This window comes from Homo sapiens, chromosome 11 (genome assembly GCF_000001405.40).
Source record: "Homo sapiens chromosome 11, GRCh38.p14 Primary Assembly".
In the NCBI taxonomy this organism is placed as follows: Eukaryota; Metazoa; Chordata; class Mammalia; order Primates; family Hominidae; genus Homo; species Homo sapiens.
Window position 1 is genome coordinate 126,040,420 of NC_000011.10, and position 25,353 is coordinate 126,065,772.

The 25,353-nt window shown below is 41.1% G+C and overlaps 1 protein-coding gene across 14 annotated transcripts in view, besides 3 other annotated features; it reads right to left on the minus strand.

Annotated features, from left to right (window-relative positions):
* Window positions 1-22,916, minus strand: part of CDON (cell adhesion associated, oncogene regulated) — a 106,515-nt gene extending 83,599 nt beyond the window's left edge. For 3 of the 14 annotated variants that reach the window (NM_001378964.1, NM_001441161.1, XM_047427065.1), the window contains exon 1: window positions 22,160-22,447. The gene's annotated coding sequence lies outside the window, so the exon portion shown is untranslated. Of the gene's footprint in view, window positions 1-15,579; window positions 18,944-21,868; window positions 22,023-22,159; window positions 22,448-22,806 lie in introns of those variants that run through there. The other 11 variants (NM_016952.6, NM_001243597.3, NM_001441164.1 and 8 more) reach the window with 8 other exon arrangements.
* Window positions 16,741-20,004: an enhancer, noted in NCBI's record as "VISTA enhancer hs1641". NCBI's record gives its function as "enhancer in: hindbrain (rhombencephalon)[10/11] | midbrain (mesencephalon)[10/11] | forebrain[10/11] | other[7/11]" and the evidence as "EXISTENCE:transgenic organism evidence [ECO:0001131][PMID:17130149]".
* Window positions 22,205-22,874: a silencer, noted in NCBI's record as "silent region_4046". NCBI's record gives its function as "represses an Ori minimal core promoter by ATAC-STARR-seq in GM12878 lymphoblastoid cells {active_cell/tissue: GM12878}" and the evidence as "EXISTENCE:reporter gene assay evidence [ECO:0000049][PMID:35858748]".
* Window positions 22,945-23,034: a silencer, noted in NCBI's record as "silent region_4047". NCBI's record gives its function as "represses an Ori minimal core promoter by ATAC-STARR-seq in GM12878 lymphoblastoid cells {active_cell/tissue: GM12878}" and the evidence as "EXISTENCE:reporter gene assay evidence [ECO:0000049][PMID:35858748]".

Sequence of the window (25,353 nt, forward strand, 5' to 3'; positions counted from 1 at the left end):
CAGCAATGTTTTCTGGGAATTATGAAGTTACTTAACAACCACAATGACTTATGTTTTACTACAACAATTTTTAAAAAGTGATTATAGGATATATAATTAAAAATAGGTACTAAAGGCCGGGCGCGGTGGCTCACGCCTATAATCCCAGCACTTTGGGAGGCCGAGGTGGGCGGATCACAAGGTCAGGAGATCGAGACCATCCTGGCTAACACGGTGAAACCCCGTCTCTACTAAAAATACAAAAAATTATCCGGGCCTGGTGGCCGGCGCCTGTAGTCCCAGCTACTTGGGAGGCTGAGGCAGGAGAATGGCGTGAACCCGGGAGGCGGAGCTGGCAGTGAGCCGAGATGGTGCCACTGCACTCCAGCTCGGGCAACAGAGAAAGACTCCGTCTCAAAAAAAAAAAAAAAAAAAAAAAAAAAAAAAAGGTACTAAAGTCAAGGCGACTAACCAAGAGCATGGTGCAGCGCTACAGTAAAAACATGGGCAGGCTGGGCACAGTGGCTCACGCCTGTAATCCCAGCACTTTAGGAGGCCGAGGCGGGCGGATCACAAGGTCAGGAGTTCCAGACCAGCCTGACCAACATGGTGAAAACCCGTCTCCACTAAAAATACAAAAATTAGCCAGGCGTGGTGGTGCACGCCTGTAATCCCAGCTACTCAGGAGGCTGAGGCAGGAGAATCACTTGAACCTGGGAGGCAGAGGAGGTTGCAGTGTGCCGAGATCGTGCCACTGCACTCCAGCCCGGGCGACAGAGTGAGACTGTCTAAAAAAAAAAAAAAAAAAGGGCAAAAATTAAAATAGTTTAACAAAAGGGTCCCTTTAAACCTAAGGGAAAAAGACCACAAACAACACCAAAGGCACTATTATTTTGTTCACAAATAGAAATGACTTGGTGGGCTGCAAAAACATTATGATCTTAAAAGCTCTAAAAGGCATATGACCAACTGTGGGTAAATGGAAATCTCTACATTTAGGATGCTCTAAGGATCTGTAGCCAAAACAAACACAACAGACTCTCTTCACACACTTATGACACAGATGGGCATTACTGGCTAAACTGTCAGGTTTTTACTGAACATAGTTGGGCTTCCTACAACATATGAACTTCTGTATAGTCAAAATCACGTAATAGCAAACTATGTTAAAACAAAATTCTACCACATAATGCTAGTACTAAATAGGATAACTTCTTAGGATAAATTTTAAGTAGATTTTAACAGTAGTGGACAAACTAACTGGGTCAAACCACAAATAGTTTAATAAATCTTCTTAAAACCATCAGGTCAATCTATCCCGCCTCTTGCCAACACTTTTTAAGTCTTAAATTTGGTAAATATGTAAGGAAAGTCAATACACTTTTTAAACAGTCTGCCACAATGCTAATTTAACCTACACATACACGTGAGGTTAATCCAGCTTGCATGTGAGTTGTTCCCTGTCAATATTAGGCAATATCAATTTGCTGATTTATTTTTTTTGAGACAGAGTTTCGCTCTTGTTGCCCAGGCTGGAGTGCAATGGCGTGATCTCGGCTCACCACAACTTCTGCCTCCCAGGTTCAAGCGATTCTCCTGCCTCAGCCTCCTGAGTAGCTGGAATTACAGGCATGAGCCACCACGCCCAGCTAATTTTGTATTTTTAGTAGAAACGGTGTTTCTCCATGTTGGTCAGGCTTGTCTCGAACTCCCGACCTTAGGTGATCTGCCTGCCTCGGCCTCCCAAAGTGCTGGGATTACAGGCGTGAGCCACCAAGCCCGGCCAATTTGCTGATTTATTTACATAAATTCATCTTCATACGCAATTATAAGATTAGGATTTTAAAATATTGTACAAGTACTTAAATCAGAGCTGCCCAAGAAAGACTCAACTGTTTTTAGTCAACAGTACTCATTTTTCTGCCTCAGCACAGCAGTTATGCCACATTCCCAGTGGTAATTGTGGGTCACCTGTAAGTGGCAAGAAGGTGGGACACATGCAGTATGAAAAATCTTGCCAAATAATTCTGATAATCTAATCCACCCCAGCCTCTTTCTTCCACAAAGCAGACAAGAACTGGATTGTGCAGAAACATATATTTTTTTTATGCATCCTATTGAACAAGTGGTTTATGAGATTATTCAAAGAATAATAACAGCTACCAATTATTAGGTTTATAACTACTAATTATTAAGTTTATGGTTCAAAGATTTTATTTATTTACTTTAGTTTTATTTTTGAGACGGGAGTCTCGCTCTGCTGTCCAGGCTAGAGTGCAATGGCACAATCTCAGTTCACTACAACCTCCGCCTCCCCAGTTCAAGTGATTCTCCTGCCTCAGCCTCCAAAGTAGCTGGGATTACAAGCACACGCTGCCATGCTCGGCTTCTTTTTTTGTATTTTAGTAGAGACCGGGTTTCACCGTGTTGCGAAGGCTGGTCTCGAACTCCTAAGCTCGGGCAATCCACCTGCCTCGGCCTCCCAAAGTGCTAGGATTACAGGCGTGAGCCACCTCGCCTGGCCGATTTTACATACATTATTGAGGCAGGAGAATAGGGTCTGGAGGCAGGGAACCTAAGGCTGTTTCACACCGACTTCCTAGAACTAAATTGAAAGGAAAATCCTAACTTTCGACACCTAAGTAACAAAAGAACCAGAGGCTACTCGCTTTGACCTTTTCTGCATGGCAGGTGGGAAACTGGCTGTCCGCAACAAATCAGACTGATTGTGGGCTGAGTCTTCGTTTGCACAGAAGTATAACTTTGCAAAAAGCAACCAATCAGATGTTTGCACAGGAGTGTTACCTTTGTAACTTCACTTGGGCCTCTGGTTGGCTCCTTCCTGCAAACAATCAGACCGATTGCAGGCTACCACTTAACTGACATGAGATGAGCATGAAGTGGCCAACAGGAAACTTCTAGGGGGTATTTGAACCCAAGAAGATTCTGTATCCGGGCCCTTGAGCCGCTGCTTGGCCCACTCCCACACTGTGGAGTGTACTTTCGTTTTCAGTAAATCCCTACTTTCGTTCTTTTGTTGCTTCATTCTTTCTTTGCTTTGCTGGGCGTTTTGTCCAATCCTTTGTTCAAAATGCCCAGAACCTGGACAACTTGCAGTCAGGACCCTCTACCAGTGACATTGTTACCAATCCTCAAACAAACTTAAGGATAGGTATTATTTCCATTTTACAAATGAGAAAACAAAGAACACTCAGATAGCCTCCCCAAGGGACCACAGCAAATAAAGACAGGGTGAGGTTTGCACCCAGGGCAACCCCAGGCCTAAGCCTTCCCGCGCCATACACAGCTTCCTAAGCAAAAGAAAGGCCTTGAGTACACAGTTGCGCTTACATCCACTCACTTCAGTGTGAATCGATGGCCATGTGTCATTCTGGAAGATTCTCAAACTTACCAGGTTTTAGTTCTATTCTAATCTGCGGATGGATTTCAGGAGGTATGAAATTGACTGAAAAAAAAGGTCACTGTGGTTATGCATTGCTGATCAATAAATTATGGTGATAATTTGATCCAGCGAAGTCCGGAACATCAACCAAAGACAGGTCCCAAAATTTCAGTGCCCAGGTGCATTTGCATTTTTGGATCACAGAGATGACATCTGAAGGCCACATGACATTATAGAATGCTGTACAAACAAAGTTTGAAACAGGTAAAAAGAAACGTGGGAGATTTATCTTCCGGTTCATGGCAGCACTGGTGTGCCAAACTTGAAAAGCACGACATAGGAAACGACCTTACACAAAGCAGGAACACACATACTGCACAGATCCCATGTTAATATGGTTCATCAACAAAAAGTAATTATTAATACATAACAAAAAGTTTTCATTGAATGGGTTTTCTTCATACTTTGGTATTATATATCGGGGAGTACTTTTAAAGTGGCTGCCCTGCAAAATAATGGATTGTTAAAAACAAATTCACTGTTAACAGACTACGGTAAGATCTAGCAATGACACTGCTGGATATATATCCAAAAGAAAAGAAATCAGTATAATATATCAAAGGGATATCTGCATCCCCACGTTTATCACAGCACTATTCACAATTGCCAAAATATAGAATCAACCTAAGTGTCCATCAACGGATGAATGGATAAAGAAAATGTAGTATATACACAAAATGGAATACTATTCAGCCATAAAAAGAATGAAATCTTGTCATTTGCAAAAACATGGATGGCATCAGAGGACATTATGATAAGTGAAATAAGCCAGGCACAGGAAGACAAATTTCACATGTTCTCATTCATATGTGGGAGCTAAAAATTTTTTAAAATTGAACTCAGGGAGACAGAGAATAGGATGATGGTTACCAGAGGCTCAGAAGGGCAGCAGGGAGGTGGGGATAAAGTGGGGATGGCTAATGGGTACAAAAATAATTAGATAGAATGAATAAAATCTAGTATTCAGTATTACAACAGGGTGACTACAGTTACCAATAATTTATTGTATATTTTTAAATAACTAAAAGAGTGGAATTGAAATGTTCCTAACACAAAGAAAACCTAATTACCCTGATTTGATCATTACACACTGTTATGCCTTCGTCAAAACATTACATGTACTACATAAACACATACAACTATTAGGTACCTATAATAATTTAAAATATATATATAGAGAGAGAGACGGAGTCTTGCTCCGTCGCCCAGGCTGGAGTGCAGTGGTGCAATCTCGGCTCACTGCAACCTCCGCCTCCAGGGTGCAAGCGATTCTCCTGCCTCAGCCTCCCGAGTAGCTGGGATTACAGGCACGCGCCACCATGTCCAGTTAATTTTTTTGTATTTTTAGTAGAGACGGAGTTTCACCATGTTGGCCAGGATGGTCTCGATCTCTTGACCTCGTGATCCGGCTGCCTCAGCCTCCCAAAATGCTGGGATTACAGGCGTGAGCCAGCACGCCCGGCCAATAATTTAAAATGTTTAAAGCACTTAAATTTGTGGGAAAATTGTTAAAAAGAAAAAATAATGGTAATCATGCTTAATATCAAAAGAATCAAAAAACAGACAAAGGAAATATAAAATAAACAAAAATAGTTCTCAATCATTAAACATAACAATAGCAATCTAAACGTTTTTAAAATATTATTTTAAATTTTTGAATTGTGTTGATTTTGGAGCCAGTATTTACTTTGGAAATTCGTTTTAGTTTTATAAGATGTTTCCATTTAGTTTATTTTATAAATAATTATATGAGATTAAAAATAAGAATTATTTAATCAACATTAGGATTTTATAATAATTTTTCCTTTTCAAAAAAGTCACACATTCGGCTGGGCACAGTGGCTCACCCCTGTAATCCCAGCACTTTGGGAGGCCCAGGTGGGCAGATCACCTGAGGCTGGGAGTTTGAGACCAGCCTGACCAACACAGAGAAACCCCATCTCTACTAAAAATACAAAATTAGCCGGGCGTGGTGGCACATGCCTGTAATCCCAGCTACTTTGGAGGCTGAGGCAGGATAATTGCTTAAATGTGGGAGGCAGAGAATGCGGTGAGCCAGGATCACGCCACTGCACTCCAGCCTGGGCAACAAGAGCGAAACTCCGTCCTAAAAAAAAAACAAAAACAAAAAAAAGTCACATTCAAGGTTAAGTGCTAGCCCCTTTTTAGCAAAATACAGAATATTATCATCTCAATTAAGACATATTCACTGAAACGGCATTACAACTAGCCAAACACATAGCTGTTTCCTTGATCACACATCTTCACAAATCTGGACTAAGAATGGTATTGGGATGGTAGGATAAGAATTGTAGTTTCAAATACAAGATTCCCATTCCCTAGAATCAAAAAAGTTATAAGAATCTTATAAATGCTACCCTAGCCATGAAGACCATTACCCTCATAAAATTCTATAAATGCAATGCAATAAACTTATCCTCTATTTTAGGGGACCCACAGAGTATCGTAAAGTCCAGGCATTTCTAGAGCTGTGGTACAATGTTTTCTCCTGCATACATGTTCAATATCGCTACAAAAATTACTGTGCTGCTCTGAAGACCTGTAGACCAGTGACAAAAATTCAGTAATTAGACCAATCTGTGGGGTCAAAGAAAAGAATGAGATTCTCGAGACTTATCTAAATAATATTTTTAAAAATATTTAAGACAAGCATCTACTTTCTGAAGCATTGTTACTGTCACTGCTGAAGACAGAAAGGCAAGAGCCAGCTGAAAAAGGGCGACGGTGGCCCCCCTTGTCATTTTCCGATTCTACAACACCTTCTGGCTCCAGTTTTTTGGATCCCCCTCCATTACTAAATCCCAATCTTCAATGGCCACTTGAGGTCAACTTCCACTGTACTTATCCTGGCCAGCTAGAAACAAAACGGGAGTGTCTGGGTGGGGCTGACAGTATGCACACTGGTCTATCTCCAGGCAAATCTCTGCTCTGGTGACCCCACTTCTACTCTATTTCTTTCTGTGAGGCACCTTGAGGATGGTACTTTACTGGTGGTTTTAATACTGCCAATCACAGTTAAGTGTTTATCTGCTCCAAACACATGTAAGCCCAAAAGAAAAGTAGGAAACCTGAAAGAACAGATGTAACAATCATGCTCAGTATTTAAGTATACATCTGAAAATTCCAGGAAGTAATGGGATTTCCCATCGATGACAACATTCATACTTTTGGGAGAAAACTATTACCAGTAAAGTTAGCAAAGAATTCTAACAATAGCTATCCCCTTGCTTTTAGCTATCCCTTGCTTCATACCTAGCCTAGTAAAGCTAGGTATGAAGTACATCTCTTATAAAAATCAGTGTTATTTACCTGGTATTAAACTGAAGAATGTTTACATTGAGCTTCAGGAGATGGAGGGGGAAAGGGAGAGTAACAAAATTGAAAATTTAAAGCAAGAAAATCAAGATGGTGTTCAGTTGCTTGAACATACAGGAATTTACCCAAACTTTCACCATTACCTATTACAGCACTCCCCTAACTGCTCTCTTTCCCAGGAGCCATGTCCTCACGAACCCAAGCACATACAATCAATTCTAGTTACTCCCACGGCAAGAGCTCCTTCAATTTTAATCCTACTCATTTGATTTTGATTTGACAGTCTCTCAGTAACCTGTACCACAATAAGATCACATTTTGTCAATAAAAGCACTCCATCTCAAACAGAACAACAGAACAGCAACAGCAACTGCTCGCATGCAGTAAGTACCTAGCAAGTGCCAATCACTAGCCCAAGCTATTGTGTCCTCATTTTGCCTGTAAAGACTAAATGGGATGATCCCATAGCCCCATGGACCACCATATAGAGATGGGGAAATCAAGGCACAGAGGGCTCACATCACTAGAATATGGTGGAGCCTGGCTTTGACTCCAGGCTCTCTGACTCCAGGACCTACCCTAGTCTAAACTGCTATAATACACTGCCCAAAAATGCCTAGGTTAAAGCTCCCATTTATGTAACACAAATTCATTCTAAATTCAATCATTTCATTAATCTACAAATTCTACATGCTACGTTTATATAAAATAAGGATGTGGATGTCTTTCAATCCCATATCTACTTCCAGAGAGTAGTACGTGAATGACATAAATGATAAAAATCAAGAAATGGTCTTCAGCCGTCGTGGTGGCTCCTGCCTGTAATCCCAGCACTTTGGGAGGCTGAGGCAGGTGGATCACTTGAGGTCGGAAGTTCAAGACCAGCCTGGCCAACATGGAGAAACCTCGTCTTTACTAAAAATACAAAAATTAGCCAGGCATGGTGGCACACACCTGTAGTCCCAGCTACTCTAATTGGGAGGCTGAGGCATGAGAATCGCTTGAGCCCTGGGAGGTGGAGTTTGCAGTGAGCCGACATCGCACCACTGCACTCCAGCCTGTGCAACAGAGTGAGACTCTGTCTCAAAAAAAAAAAAAAGAAAAGAAATGGTCTTCTTCAGTTGGACTCAACAGTGTAGACTAATGATTTACAGTGTTGCCAAGAACACTTGGCACATTCCCATCACACATTGTATTAATCTGTTGGTAATGGGAATGAGATAAGGAACACTCGAGCAAAGAGGTCAGCAGCAACGTTCAACACCCCAGATATGCTATTACAATCATCCAAATCATATTTTATAGTTAGAAGGCAAAGCGTCAAAAATCCCTTAAGTTAAAGCCAAAGACTTCCAAATAATTCAATTTCATTAGAGAATGAAGAGGAAAATTTCCTGCAGGTTAAAAAATTCTACTACATAAAGAATATATAGCATCAAAGAAAACCATGTTAAGAAAGATACTAAGATATGAAGCAGGTTCTCTAAAATTTCAACAATTTAGTTATTTTTTTTTTCTTTTCTGAGATGGAGTTTCACTCTTGTTGCCCAGGCTGGAATGCAATGTGGCAGTCTCAGCTCACTGCCACCTATGCCTCCCAGGTTCAAGCAATTCTCCTGCCTCAACCTCCCAAGTAGCTGGGATTACAGGCATGCGCCACCACACCTGGCTAATTTTGTATTTTTAGTAGAGACGGAGTTTCTCCATGTTGGTCAGGCTGGTCTCAAACTCCCAATCTCAGGTGATCCGCCCACCTCGGCCTTCCAAAATGCTGGGATTACAGGCGTGAGCCAACAGGCGTGAGCCAACAGGCGTGAGCCACCGCGCCCAGCCCAATTTAATTCTTTAAAAGCCAAGTTAACCTGCAGACCTGAAAAATTATTATTTTTAAGCCATTTAATTATAACCTAAAAAACAGCATACAAATTAATGCATATTGCTCACTATAGATAAAAATACTACAGACAGTTTATACTGGGCATTTAGAGATCTGAACAAGTAGTCTTTCTTGTTCAATTTTTCTCTTTTCAAATTAAAAAAAGAAAAACTTACAGACAAGCATCATCAATCATTAAGAGGGCCTGGTTCTGATATTATATGAGCTCTGTCAACCTTAATCAAATTGCTTGACAGATCGTAGATAAGTAATGACTTGCTTAGGTTAAGCAAGGCCAGAGTTTTCCTTCTGTAGTATATACATCTCCAGAGTGAAAATAAACAGCCTCACACCTCTTACTGGGAGCTGCACTCCACTGCTATTACAACTCAGTCTTCATTTCAACAGAGGAGGAGGAACATCTATTTTTCTTTCCTTCCTTCTCAATATGGTCATCAGAAGTCATCAAAGTCATTTTTAAACTATCCCATTAAACAGTTAATAATTATTTTAATCTACACCAATTAGCTATCATTAAATGCCAAAACATTTGTTTTGGCCTGCATTACACAGTGATATAAAACAAAACAGAAATAGTTAACAACTGACAAAAGCAATACTAAAGGAATCACTTAAAACTGCAAAGCCTGAATTCATGTTGTAACACATCCAAGAAATTGAAAAACAAATTTTGTTTCAATATAATCGGCCCCATTTTGGGTGCAGGGGCACCATGGAACAACAGTTAAAATAAGAGAAAGAGCATCCCAATTCAGATTTTGTATTCATTCTATAACCAAGACACAAATAACGAACTAAAACATCCTCCTCGTTAACTTCTTTACATATAATTGGAAAGGGCTTTCATACTTCATATTCAGCCAGGATGTACCGTTAAAGAATTTCTAAGCATCCAAGTATTCTGCCTGCTCTAAAGAAAAGCGTTAAAAAGCAAGGATCCCAGTGGCTAGGGGAAAAGAAAATGAAATGACTTCTTTAGAAGAACTTTAGAAGAATGAGTTTAAAAATATAAGATACCAGGGAGTCAATTTTACCTTAGGCAAAATGCGCTTCAATGTTTTCCATTAGGTCAATAGTATCTAGAATGCAGAGCTTGTGGTTTAGAAATGTCAAAGATCAAAAAAGCAAAAAAACAAAAAAAAAGCACCCTTAGAATTTAGCTATTTTAATCTATTCCTAAACACATACAACTGTGCAATTATAACCTAAAATAAACCTAAAAAGAAAGACTAAAGTTCCAAATAACACTTTTCTCCAACATGCGAAAGAGGTATTTTGAAGGACACCTAACTTTGAACTAGATTAAAACTTTTATATGATATCAATGCTCGATCATTTAGTCTTCATGATTTCCATTCTAACAAAGATTTTACAATCTCATACATTTCCTGTAAGTAGCAAACACACACACACACACACACACACACACACACACACAAACAAAAAAAAGTCTGTAAAATACTCCAAAATACAAAGGGCTCTATAAAAGTTATTTAAGAAATGATCATTATCAGAAACAGGAAAGGAGAAAATTATGCTGTATACAGAATAAAAAGAACCACAAAACAAGATTTGTAATTGCCGAAATACAAACTCCTCAGCAGGGGACCAAGGACGGGGTGTGCCGTGGCTCCTCCTAAGCCTGTCTGTGCACGCCATGCACAGCCTGGGTCAGGACTTTTCTTTCCCAATCCCCTGGAGCCTCCATTCTTATAGTCTGCAGGGCACACACACAGACAAGGACCTGGCTCTGCAAAAAGCAATACTTCACTCCTCTGACACCATATTAGTTACTGTTAAATTGCCCAAGTACACATGCAGCATACATTCACTCTAGGTGAATCGGAAAAAGACACTAGTATTTCTCAGTGAATGAGAAAGAACCTTTACAAGCAAATGGGGACTTCGCCTACTCGATGTAAATTTTTTTTTTTCCAGAAAACTCACATTTCAACATGAAGGAAAAAAAATCCTTAATTGCACAAATGAAAAACTCAAAAATCAGTTTCTCATTCTTGGTTGTTAAAGGCCTGTAGCATTTGAGATGTGGTGGCTGCTGCTCTGATTCCATGGCCAGCTGACACCTGTAATCACAATGAATTAAGTGTCCTGTATTCACGTACAGCTAAGGAAACGTGAATCTAGCCAAGTGTTATAGTTTCTACTTTATAAGGGTAATCACTTCCTTATCTTTTCCCTAACAATCTACCTATCTGGGAAGACACACCCTAAAATAACAAGTAAAACACAGATAGTGTTTTCTTTAAGATAATTTTGGATATTACTTTCAAGGAGGGTGGAATGCATTAGCCTGGATTTACCAAGGTTCACATTTAGAAATCCACTTTGGGAGTTAGCTACAAGACTCCTATTAACACTACTAAGATACATGCAGTCCAAACCCTGAGCTAACGTTTATCTGATACCACAAAATATTGATATGAAATCTCTGCACAAGCTGTATTGTATAATTAAAACCCCCACTGCACCTGCTGTCATAATAACAAATGCGAAATTATTGTAAGACCTAATCGCTATAACAATAGCTATTTTTTTTCTTTTTTTTTTTTTTTCCAGAGTCTCGCTCTTGTTGCTCAGGCTGGAGTGCAATGGTGCAATCTTGGCTCCCTGCAACCTCTGCCTCCCGAGTTCAAGCGATTCTCCTGCCTCAGCCTCCCGAGTAGCTGGGATTACAGGCACCCACCACCACGCCCAGCTAATTTTTTGTATTTTTAGTAGAGACAGGGTTTCACGATGTTGGCCAGGCTGGTCTTGAACTCCTGACCTCAGGTGATCCACCCGCCTCAGCCTCCCAAAGTTCTGGGATTACAGGCATGAACCACCGCACCTGGCCAACAATAGCTCTTTTAAAATGCATCCTCAAACGCAAAAGAAATAACACATAACATCAATTGTGTTTGCTAGCCTAATAGGAAACCACAGTTAACAGTCAATCTCATAATGACTCAAAATTGGCTTTAGTTAGCCATGGGATTAAAACAAAACAAAACAAAACAAAACAAAACAAAAAAAACTTTAGCTCTAAATGTATTATGAAAATTATACAAAAGACCTACATACAGTCAAAACATGATTACTGCAATTTCTTTTAAGAGAGGAACCCAACCAAAATATAAAATAATTTAAAACATGGTGACTAGAGCTTGGAATTGGGAACTCAGGGTAGAAATCTGATCTATTTACTTTTATTGTAACCTTAAAAAGGACTCATACTATGAAAAAGAAAGTATGCCTAATTTTCAATAAACAGAAATCAAACTACTGATTTAGAGATCAGAACAATTCTAATCAAATTATAATATGACTTGAAAATATGTTAAGTAGAGGTATACACACTTGACACTTGGTATCCACAGTTCCTCATCCAGGGATTCAACCAACTACAGACCAAAAATATTTGGAAAATAAAAATAAAAAATAATACAGGCCACGCGTGGTGGCTCACGCCTGTAATCCCAGCACTTTGGGAGGACAAGGTGGGTGGATCACTTGAGGTCAAGAGTTCAAGACCAGCCTGGCCAACATGGCGAAACCCTGTCCCTACTAAAACTACAAAAATTAGCCGGGCATGGTGGCAGGTGCTTGTAATCCCAGCTACTTGGGAGGCTGAGGCAGGAGAATTGCTTGAACCTGGGAGGCGGAGGTTGCAGTGAGCCAAGATCACACCACTGCACTCCAGCCTGGGCAACAGAACAAGACTCCGTCTCAAAAAAAAAAAAAAAATTAAAAATTAAAAATATACTGTATAACAGCTATTTACATAGCATTTAAATTGTGTTAGGTATTATAAGTAATCTAGAGATGATTTAAACAGGAAGATCTGCATAAGTTATATGCAAATACAGGGAACTTCAGCATCTAAGAATTTGGATAGCCACAGGCAATAGGGGGTGTCATGTCCTGGAATGGATCCCCCATGGATATTGAGGGACGACTGTATTCACAATTAGGTTTAAAATATGCTTTCACCCACCAGAACCAACTCAGCAGAACCTCACTATAATTCTTATTACTGTAGAAGAAAACCTGCCATTTCCTTTTGGATGAACATCCAAGATTTAATGGAAGAAACAATAAAATGACCCCATTTAAAAAGGCGATCACACAGTAAGATGCACCCAGGAGGTAAATCATGGGTACAACATAGCAGTTAAGACTCTAATGTGGCCCTACTCAGGAGTTTAGTAATCTATTAAGAACTATAAAAATACCTCCTCCAGATTTAGTAGTCCCAGGGTTTACTGGAACTACTGCTCGGATGCTAGGACACCAAACCGAAATCCTGATAATGAGCTGTCGTTATATCATGGCCACATCTAGAAATCTAATTGCACAGTGAGAGTGCATAGGATGAAATGGGAAGGAGGAAACACTAAATCAAATCCAACCGCTCTGATCGGTCATCTGATATTATTTGACTGGTGTTTTTACACAGAGGGATAAATGGCACCTTTCCTGCAAAACTGTACTGTCACATACATAATCACATTCAGACATTCAGCCACATCATCATTTTATGAGCCAGTATCAGATGTTTTCAATACATTGCAAGCTATGTAATGTATTGCATACCATATCGAGCCACATGGTGAGGTTTAACCCCATTTTCTAAACGAGGATTCCCCATACCCACTCTCATACTCTCATAGTCACCAACAGGAGAGGGACAGTGAGAATGACGGAAACAGAGGTTACTGATAAACCCTATGTCCATTCCAGCTGAAACCACGCTCACTCCCTAATTGTTACTGCCTGTTATTCACTGTGTTGTTGTTTTGTCATACCCACATCCTAAGGCCAAAATCATGAAAAGAAGCCAAATTAAATGGGCAGGAAAAATGTCTTATCCCCAGCTTGCAATGCTATTTTTCTTTTTATTGGAATAAGAGACTGCCAAGTTCTGATGTCACTACAATAATTTCATGGCCTGATAAAAGCAGTATTTTATCCATTAAACATTCGTTCCCCTTGCCAATTTTACCTCTAACCAGGCAGTGTGTACAATTACTCACTGAACAGATACCAAACTACAGTAAAATAAAAAATTCTAATTACTTTTATTCTGATACTGTAAAAAGCCAGTAACTGTCAGAAATTTCCCTGGCAAGAGACACAATCCTGAATATGTTTTTTAGTACCTATATACCCAGGAGAACCCCTGCAAAATACAAAAAGACAAAACATGACATCAGCTCTCTGGGCACTGAATAATGTTGCACAGAACTACTACATACATTTTAAATATATAAAATTGTTAAAATATTCAAAATATTTGACAAGGATTCCAGTCATAGTGTGATAATGCATGTCCCAGCATCTTCAATATGTAACTGTTTTTTTCTTTATCTAAAGCTTTCGTTTATCTTCATTACTTGAAGCTGTGGTATCACTCCCTGAACTTGAGAGTCATTGATGTCACTGAATTTTTACGAGCAAAATCGTGTGTTGAAATCATTCATGGATCTAGAGAAGATGGTTCAGCATCTTTCTACTCAGTGTGCTCCACCCAGCTCATCAGTATTATCTGGAAACTTGTTAGAAAGGAAGAATATTGGGCCCCACCCCAGACCTACTGAATCAGAATATGCAGTTGAACACACTCGCTCACCCAGAAATTCAAATGCACGTTAATGCCATCCAGGATATCTGAGTGTTTAGTACTTGTTCAGCAGAGTGCAAAGAAAGGGGTGGGTGGGCCAATGGTACATAGGGGAAAATCACATTGTCCTTAAGGAATAAAGGGGAGACTGACACGTATGCAATTATGATACGTATCAGTGCCAGGAGAGATGCGTTTCCAGCCTGCGAGAAAGCATGGTATATTCATGGAAGGCAAAGCAGCCGGGATGGCAGAAGCTTCCAGTAGGCATATAACCCTGTACATCCAATTAAAGACCTGGGCTTCAACAAGTGAGCAATTCAGGGACTTTAAAGGATTTTAATGAAAGCAGTCACGTGATCACATATTTACATTTCAGAAAGATCATTACTCAGGCAAAATGTAAGAAAAATCAATGATCTGGAAGGGGGCAAACCAAAACTGAAGACAAGGGGATGAGTTAGTAGCAGTTTAAGCAGGAGTTGCAAAGGCATTTTTTTCATCTCACATGCTGAATCTCCTCTGTCCCTCTCCCAAAGTTTGAGGAGGAGGATGGAGGGGTAAGGTAATGGTAACAGACAAGAGATAAAGAAGGCCCACTTCTAAGCTACAGGGAGGATGGAATTGGTATGGATGGGCATACATAAATATAAAACAGTAAAAATTCAATATACTTTTCTGTTTTATAAAATGGAGAAAATATTATTTTGGTGGTTCAGGATCCCACAGTTCCTTCCATCATTTTAAATATCAGTGATTAACATAAAGTACTATATTTACAGATACAAGATGTGTACATGGTTAAATATCTATGGATCCCAGAAAAGATCTTGAATATGGTTTTGATACTTGGACACGTCTCTGATACCGGCCTTTCTCCTCCTATATGAGTTATTTATCTCTCTTGTAACTCAAGTTTAGAAAAGTTGCAGTGGAGGAGGGACAAGAGGGACATTTATTAATGTTTACATATAATTTGTTGTAGGAATGAATAAATAACTGGGCCAACAAATGGCTTCAGATGTGTACCTATATAAAAAGGTAGTACATGCTATACTTTTAAGTATTATCATTTCTGATACCAATACACTTAGAATATTGAAAAAGTCCCTATTTAAGTAAGGAAGAAAGAATACCCGACATTTACTTGTTAGTGATAAACTAAGGATTACATTTAAAGTGAAAAGAGCCAGCAAGTCGAGGCAATCTCCAACTTTAAACTGGAGCTGGTTTAAAAAATGTATTTATCCAATGGCTGTTGGTAACTTTTAACATATTTCCTACCTCCAAAATCATGTACGTGGTGGGTATGTAGCCTAGGCATACCATAAAAGCCTATTTCATGGAACCTCAGTCCTACAAATGCCTTAGAGGTTATTTGGTTCAATGTTGCACCCAAGAAAGAGATTCTTCCCACAGCAGCCTTTGCAAATGCCATTACAACACTTCCAGGAATCAGGAGTCCATGCCCCTTCCAAACAGCACTGCTTCACATGAGGCAGCTCTATTTGTTGGATAGTTCTTCTTTCTTCTGAAACATAATCTGCATCTTTGAGGACGCCTATAGATCAAAAGATGAATCATGTATCACTATTTCAACGCTCCCAACCCCCAATGAAATCCTGACCACGGATGGTCTGATTTAGGAAGAAAAGGGGACAATTTGCCCTTCTCCAGTCCAGAGGAACCCATCCTGCATATGGCTGTATGTGAAGAATGACCTTGTGTCAAGAGCTATGAATAGTCAGATTTAATAAAATTATAAATGTTGAAAAATACAATGTCTCCTGAGAGAAAAATGGCTAGTGTTCAAGCAGAACACCCACAAAATCCTTAATCAACATTTCCAATAACAGAAATACAAGCTATTAACCACAGCCAAAGTCCCTTCCAAAATTTAAAACAAACAAACAAAAACCCTTCTGATTTCATCTACTGAATCATCTTGTCTGTCTGTGAAATAAATTTTATTTAGCATATTAGAGAATTTCAACAATACAAACAAATTCTGAATGTATAGGCATAGCCTGACCACAATTGTTAATAGGTTAGTGGCCAAAACTCTTCTTCCTGATATAAGTGCTTGGTCCTGTTCCTCAAAATCTTCCTGCAGTATAACATCCTAGCTCCACTTTCTTCCTTTTATGGTGGACTTTTCTTTTTTCTTCAGAAAAGCATTGTACTGTTTCATTTTAAACTCAAAGAATATTATACTAATGCTGGACTGGTGGTTACTTCTGTACAACGCTAAGTGTTGATTACGGCATTTAGTCCTAAGCATGAAGGATATAAGCTACCTTAGATGGTCCTTTTCCCCTATTTTGAGGCTCCCTCCTAAAAACACACACATAAAAATGAATACAGTTTTCAAAGTATTTGGTTTATGGAATTGTAACTGAAGGTAATTATACCTTCAAGTAGTGAATAAACCCAGTTCTGTGAATAAAAATGAGGTCATGGTTGTTTTCCTAAGATAGCCATTGGGATCTGATTTTCTAGTAATGTAGGAAGAAGTGTTATTTTCTTTTTTCCCCCAAAGACTGTGTATCCAATGTGCCAATAAAATGAATTATTATGAATTTCAAACCGCACAAAAGACTCTACAACAATTTACAAAGCATGAATTAGTACTGTATACATAAATAAATGTTATTCAATAACATGAATAAATCTCACAGGCTTATGTCTATTACAATGCTCATTATTGAGCAGTGCAAGAACTCCAACATAAGACTACATACTGTAGGAGTCCATGTTCATACAGTTCACGAACAGGCAAAACTCATCTATTCCAACTCTTCAGAATAGCTGCTGCCTGCTAGCAAGAGGGAGGGCTGCCTGGGATGGGCACCAGGGAGCTTTCTAAGGCCAAGGAAATGTTCTATATCTCCATCTGGGTACTGGTTACCACAGACATGTGCATATGTAACAATTCATCTAGCTGTTCACTTAGTATACATTAGCTGTACACTTGTGATATTACTATGTTACACCTCAACTGGAAAAAAATTACACACAATGTCCAAGTGCCTTCTAAGTTTCAGCTGCAAATTTAAGAAAGCTGTATTGTTTCACGTGCCCGCACTATTACTAGCTTCTGAGAAATACATGTACACTTACATATACAGGAGGAGTTAATAAAAATAACAGCAGCTAACATTTACAGAGGTTTTACTATATGCCAAGTGCTTGACTTTCATTATCTCATTTAATCCCACAACAATGGTAAGACATAATTTCTGTTATTATACCCATTTTACAGACAAAGACCCCCAAGGCTTAAGTCAAGATCATTGCCCAGGCTCACATAAATAACAAGAAGTGAGCTGGTCTACAACAAGAATAGCTGAAAAGCAAGCTCTATGTCAGCGTCCAAATTCTCTGTTTGTATTAGGGTAACATAAAAATAAAATTGGCCTCACAGTTCCAAGTAACAAAACATAAACAAAATATGTAAGCTAAGTTCAGTAATATAACCCATATATTTTTTCTCGAGTAAGATGAAAGGCACATCAGTGGCTCTTAAGCACTGGAGTCCCTACTCACATTCCAACAGATATACAGCAGAACAAAATGTTCTTTGGGCTAGTTTTTTTATTCTCTCTGGCCATCAAAATATACCGCACAGCAAAGCGACTAAACAGCTGTGAATGCGGACAGGCACAAACTGCAGTGTTTACTCCAATTCATTCAAGGGTCCTTTCAATCTGGCCATAGTAGTAGGAGAAATGCCCAGGATTAAGGTGGAAAAAAGCTAAACATATCTTCAAAAAGGCTTCTTTATTTTCTGAACACACTGTATTGTGAGGAGAACTTGGTAGAGGGCTACATGGGAGTAGGACGGAAAAGACTGTGCACTATTTACAACACGACTTTACTTGGAAACAAAATATATCAAATGAACCATCAAATATGCTACTGCATTCTGCATTAGCTGAAAACCAGGAGCATTGGAATTCACATTCTTGGTAGATGAAAACCAATTAACTACACCATCCACCATTCAGAACTGGTCTTCCTTGAAAAGTACACAAGAAACAAACTGGGCTAATATTCTGAAAAAAAGTTTGTGCCCAAACATTATTTGAGGCAGGGGAAAAGGGACTTGGGAAGGAAGACACACTAATGTTTCTCAAAAATTTTGCTCCAAAGATTTTACAGAATGTTTTTGGCAGATAGATTTTCATTTACTTGGCGCTGCTAGCAAGTCTGCAAAGTAATGCCTCAGAAACACTAGAAATGATACAATTCTTAAAAAGACAACAGAAAAGACATAATCTAAATTAGAATTCTATAATAATAATAATGTAACAGAAACAATCAAATTCTATCAATAGTAAACTAAAATATGCCTATTAAAACAAGCATTTCATCACTGCAAAACCATTTGTTTCACATGAAGTCTGATTTTGCTCTCAGTTTGAAAGTTATTAAAACGATACATCAGCCTTTACAGGCAAGACCAAACAGTAAGATAATTTTACATATTTATCAAAAGATCATTCAAAGAAAACTTACCAAGTCTGCAACGTGTATATGCTTGTGCTTCGGAGGGAAAGCAGAGAAGCCACTTTCTGTACTTACACTGGAGTTCACTTCAGTGCTGAAAACACATCACTGTAGTCCTGCTTGTAATAAAGTCCGGACTAGCAATCTGCCTTTGGGTTGGGCTTTTCTCTTACAAGATAAGCTGTTAAGTCATGCCTTGATTTTAGATCTGCCAACATATGGAGTCTTCTAATGTAGCCTTCCCTCCACCCCCTCAACCCCCCCTGCCCGCATCCCCCCAATCCCCGCTCTGCTCCACTCCCTCTGCACACACACACATACACACATACAAAAAAGGCACTGCAGGGCAGAAATTCCTCAGGTGCTCGCTAATGGAATTCCCAGGGTCTTGGAGCCGCTTCGGGGATCAAGAGATCTCATAGCCCCCGCTGGGGTAAGGAGCAGCGAGTCTGTTCCATTTAATCAAATACAGAATGAATTTTCAGCTCTATTCACTAGCTTGTCTCCAGGGCTCTCAAAAGGCACCAGGCAGCTAGAATCACACACATGTGGCTCTTTTAGGCAAGTATAATTAGCTTGATTTTAAAAAGCCACATTAATAATATCACCTCAGGACCATTATTCAGGAGACAGATGACAATGATACTGTATGTTTTAAGCCTGACAATGGGGGAAAGAGCACAAGCAATGAGGGAAAACTTGAAGGATTAAAAAAAAAAAAACCAAGAAACCAGTTTTTCATTTAATTGTAATCCAATATTTTTCAAGTGACATTAAGAATATTCCATACACCATCCCTTCTTTTTAACAAAAAAGAATCAAGTAAAGCCCTCCCCTGTGCTGTTGAAAGTGAGTTAGTGCCAAATACACAACAAAAACTTATCACATGGAATGATTACATACAATATAAAAATTTAAGTAAAAATAAAACATTCTCAAATTCAAGTTCACGAAATTTCTTGAAAAAATTCCCCATTAAAAAATACTGTAAAAAAGCAAGTCCTTCAACTCAAAATATTTGGCAACCATACTCCAAATTCTGTTTCTAATCTAATTAGTTTGTATTAAGTTCATTTACTTAAAGGGGGGCTACCATGTACGCAGCTCATCTACAGCTCCACTGTATTGTCTTACCCATACTTCTACATCATGCCATAGCTGATCACAAGGCGCTGGCTCATATCATTACACGTTAAAGCAACACATTTTTCAACTCATTATTTATTTTCTAACGCTTCCCTGATTTTTACTACGATAATATTTAATTCCTGAAATCATTTCCCTAGTATTTAACTTCGAAACAATCACCAATTTTTAGTCTAAACGTTCGTGGAAAAAAAAAAATTCTACAGAAGGAAAATTTTACTTCAACTTACATTTCGACAAAACCATACATGAAATTGTCTACAAAGTCATGAAGGCAGATGGGCGAAGTGGGAAAATAAGAAGCAAGCCCAAGAAATAGTCAACAAATTTTTACCTGCTCTCTTTAGAACAAAGCCCTAGGACATTAGTTCCTATTCCTACCTACTGCCTTCAGCTGTATATACCCTGACGATCTGGAGGAGAAAGTCCTATCTTAAAGTGAACTTAATTCTTTTCCTGCAAAGTCAAACCACCTGCAAAGAAAGCAAGGCGTAAGCTAGATTTAGAAGCCAAGCTACACAAGCTAGATCAGTATCCAAGTCCTAAGGGTTCTTTGTACTTGAAGGCTTGAGAGTCAGAGCTGTTTAAGTACTTTGCACAGAAGAGGAGGCTGATGAGAACCATGGCAATCAATCAAAGCATCCCAAGTGAGTTATTACACAAACAACAGCACAGTACCTCTAGTAACTGATTCTCCTGGCTGACTAAACTATTCAAACAAAGACAGATTTCCCAAACACTGGGAAGTTTTTGCATGAAAGTTAAACAGTATACATTTGTGTGTTTCTTAATAGAAATATAAATGTTTCTGTTCTACACACTGCCAAACACACACCCAGGGCACGTCTTTACAAAATGAAACAGGTTTTCTCCATCCTTCTCATATAACTTCAAGTATGAGGCAGTTCATTCCAACATGTGCATAACAGAGACTGCAGTATTTGGTGCTTCTCGGGTTCCAAAGAATGCTTTCTAGTTAAGCACTAATTTAAAATTTCCAGAAAATTTTTTGAAGGTTTTCTTTCATCTTATCTTAAAAGTTGAACTATCCCCAAATTTTCAGCTAAAAATAGACTGAGGGTGGGGGAGAACTACAAAATGTCATAGAATGTTTAGAATTATGCTGACAATAAACTCATTTCATTTTCTAACACCCTCCCCACCTTCCTCTCCTTGGAGACACTGTCCACTAGGTATGCCAAGTGTCAGTTGGGAATTTGAGGGTTATGTTATCAGCGCCGAAAGGAATCAGAATTCACTGACTTGGCGTCTTTCATCTTTACTGGCATAGGCCTGAAAATAAATCTCATGTGAGCTTTTAGTCCAACCTCCTGTTTTTCAAGGTGTCTGGTTTGGGACACAAAGGCTGACTTTCTGTTGATGAGGTTCTCTAAATTCTGGATTCCCACTGGAAAGCAGTCTGCCCTTAAAGCACCTGCCACCCTCTGTCGTCCTGATGAGGAAGGGCAGGCATTCTGGAAACAGCTCCTTTTGGAGAGCCTTCCACCTGATTTGGTGGGGTTAGGGAGAACAATGAAGGGAAGGGCAAGAGAGTCTATCTATCCCCCTCAGTGATTTATTGCTGAAATTCCTAGATGTGGAGAGAAAGCAACAAAGGTCTGGAAGCTGCCGACTGAAATAAATAGCGAGCTGTAATGTATTTAGCAAATGATAATGCAATCCACAGAAAGCTTTACAGAGGAGAAGGAAAAATACACTCCCTGGGGCTGGGAAGTCAGTGAGTCTTGTGAAGGCAGAGAAAGATACATTGTGCAGGAAATTTCTCTTGCTTCTCCCTACACATAAATCACTGTCTCTCGCGGGCGCTCTGCAGGGATGGAGATTGAGAGAGGCCAGGGACCCGGCTCCCTTGGGAAAACGCGCGGGCGCCCTAGCTCCCCGCTCTGCGGCATCTCACCTGCCCCCGAGGACCATCGTCAAGAAGAGGTTTCGTCGTGTCACTGACACCTCACCCCGCCTCCTCCCGCGAGGTGCCTCCGAGCCCCCGAGGACGCGGAACGCCGGGGCTCCCCGCCGGGCAAGCATCAGCATCCAGACCCCGCACGCAGCCCTGCACCCCCACGCCCTCCAGGGAACGCCGGCCCGCCCGTCCCCGGGACCTCCCGTCCCCTAAGCCAAGGCCCCCCAAGCCCAGTGCCCGCGCGCCACCCCTCCCTCCGACCCTGCGGCGGGACCCCCACCCCCGCACCTCTCCGCGGGGCTGGCTAAGCCTCCAGACCTCCTGCGCTGCAGCCGGCTCGGAAAGCCACCCCCAGGTCATCCCCCCGCGCGCGCGCGGCGGCGGCTACGGTGGCGGCGGCTGCGATCCGAACGGGCCCCTCCATGCACCGCGCAGGGCAGAGGAGGGAGCGGCGCCTCGCACGCCGGGGCTGGGGCGCTGGGCAGGGCGGGCGGGCGTGGGGTCCCGGGTCTCCTCGCACCTAGCCGCGCGAGCCGGGCTCCCGGGCTCAGGGGAGGGGAGCTGAGGGGCGGAGTCACCGGGGCGCGCCCCCGCGGCTGCGCTCCTCCCCGCCGGGGAGCGCGGGCACGTAACTCGGAGGGTGCTGGGCCGGCCCGGAGCACGCGAGCAGCGGGAGGAGGGACCGGGGAATGACTGACGGAGGCGGGCCGTAGAGGCCGCTGTGCCCCGCCGGCCCGCACCCGGCCGGAGTGTGCGCGCGCAGCCTGCCAGATCAGCGGCGGGGGCACGGGCCGTACCAAGTGACGGAGGGGGGCACGCTCTGGGCAGGACCCTCTCCTCGTCATTGACCTGCCTACTCTGCAAGAGAGATACCCCAGGGGAGCATAGAAGAGGCTTTTCTTGGGTGTAGGACAGGTAAGGGTGAGTTGCCTTACCAAGTCACGGAGATTCCCATCATGCCTGCACTCACGCTCCCCTCACCTTTCATTCCCTTGGAGAGACGGCTCTTCTGGCAGGTCTCCAAATGGTCGACTCTGTCCCCCGAGGCCCCGCCCTAGCCTCGTTCGGGCCCCGCCCTAGCCTCGTTCGGGCCCCGCCCTAGCCTCGTTCAGGCCCCGCCCCTCGCCCCGCCCCGCCCCTCGCCTCTACCTAAGTTCTCTGAGCCGCCAACGGGTGCATCCCTTCTCCCGGTTCTTGCCTGGTCTCTCTTAGGGTTCCAGCGGCCCACCGCTTATACCTCCTTCGCCTTTCCACCACTTTCCATGTTTAATTCCTTAGGCAGCTTCATCTGATTCCCCCACCACCACCCACCCGCCCTGCCTGCACATAAACGCAAGCAGGTAGCAAAACTCAGGGGCTAGGAGAGGCGTGGTGTGAGCCTTTGGCCCCAGAGTCTTTCCAACTCGTCCGTTGGACCTGCCCCAAGTTATCTGAACTCAATGAACTTCAGTTGTTCAAACAGAAAAAGGAAAAATAAATTTCTATTCAAAATGTTGCTGTGAAGCGTAAATACGATACTTTGTGAAAAGCACCTGCCACTCAGTGGGCATTCAAGGACTGTAACTTCTTTATAAATTGTTATTATTAGCAGTTAGCTCTTTTTTTTCCCCATCATCATTACTTACTATTAGCTTAACTACAAAAGGATCCCTAATAATAGTTAAGTTTATAAATACTCAGTACTGAACTTCAGGAGAAATATGCCAGTCCTCCCTTACCTTCTTACGTGAATTTTAAAAAGAAATGCTTTGAAAGTGTGGTATTGTTCAAGCAGGTTAGCTTTCTGCATTAGCTAGATTCAGGGTTTTTGTAAAGCCCCTGGAAAGAAAGTCAGTACAGGACGGAAAAAAAAAACACAATTTTTTTTCTTAAGACGGAGTCTCACTCTGTCGCCCAGGCTGGGGTGCTCTTGTTGCCCAGGCTGGAGTGCAATGGTGCGATCTTGGCTCACTGCAACCTCCGCCTCCCGAGTGCAAGCGATTCTCCTGCCTCAGCCTCCCAAGTAGCTGGGATTACAGCACGTGCCACCACACCCGGCTAATTTTTGTATTTTCAGTAGAAACGGGGTTTTGCCATGTTGGCCAGGTTGGTCTTGAACTCCTGACCTCAGATGATTCTCCCGCCTTGGCCTCCCAAAGTGCTGGGATTACAGGCGTGAGCCACCACACCCAGCCAGAAAAAAACTCTTAACTCTAGTTTGTCCTCCACTGTTCTATTGTTCACTTTTGGAGACCAAGAATCTATATGTTATTAACAAGCTATGGTAAACGATTTTTCATTCGGCAAGTAAGTCTTTCTATAGAGGATTTAACTGAAATGAGAGTTTTGTGTGGATGTTAATAGAAGTCTTGCAAATTTATTGTGGCTACAGAGAATTCCAGGTTCTTCTCCTGGGACATAATGCACTTTGTGCACCTCCAGATCTCACAGTGCCATTTGAATTCACTATGCCTACTGTTACTCATAGTCAGACTAAGAAAAAAATCACAATGTTTGTTGATATTAATTACTTCCTCTCCCCCTTTTTTTGTAAAGCAGAGAAATCATTTCAGGTGTAAAACAGTTTTTCATTAATGAATCATTCATCCATTTGTTCAACATTAAGAAACAATGTGCAGTCCCAAGCTTCAAAGAGCTCACAGTCTAACTGTGATACAGACACACACGTGGGTAAGTACAAGGAGACATCTTCAGTGCAATGAACAGGGAGCTGTGTGAACACAAGGTCAGTATAGTATTGAGTATAGTATTAAGAGGTGATAGTATTAAGAGGTGATAGTATTAAGAGGTGATAGTATTAAGAGGTGATAGTATTAAGAGGTGATAGTATTAAGAGGTGATAGTATTAAGAGGTGATAGTATTAAGAGGTGATAGTATTAAGAGGTGATAGTATTAAGAGGTGATAGTATTAAGAGGTGATAGTATTAAGAGGTGATAGTATTAAGAGGTGATAGTATTAAGAGGTGGAGACTTTAGAAGCTGACTAAGTCATGAGGACCACCCTCATGAGCAAGATTCATGACCTTATAAAAGGGCTTCAAGGAGCTAGCTAGCCCCTTCTGTCCCTTCTGCCGTGGGAGGACACAGAGAGGTCATCATCTGTAAGGAGTAGGCACTTACCAGACCCTGAATCTGCAGGCACCTTGATCTTGGATTTCCCAACCTCCATAACTATGAGAAATAAATTTCTGTTGCTTAAAGAGTACCCAATCTAAGGCATTTTGTTATAGCAGCAGAAACAGACTAAGACACTATGGGGCCTCCAACCACAGATGTCCACTATGTAGAGAACTCCAAGTGGAAATACGGATTTAAACGTCATCAGCATAAAGTAGTGTTTATACCATTAAAGTGGAAGCGATCTCTCAGGAATAATATGGAACCAGAAAGTTGTAGCCAAGGATGGATCTCTAAAACTCCAATAACTAAAGCCCCCAATTATCTTGATGAATTTGGAGCAAAGGCTGTTTACTGAACTCAA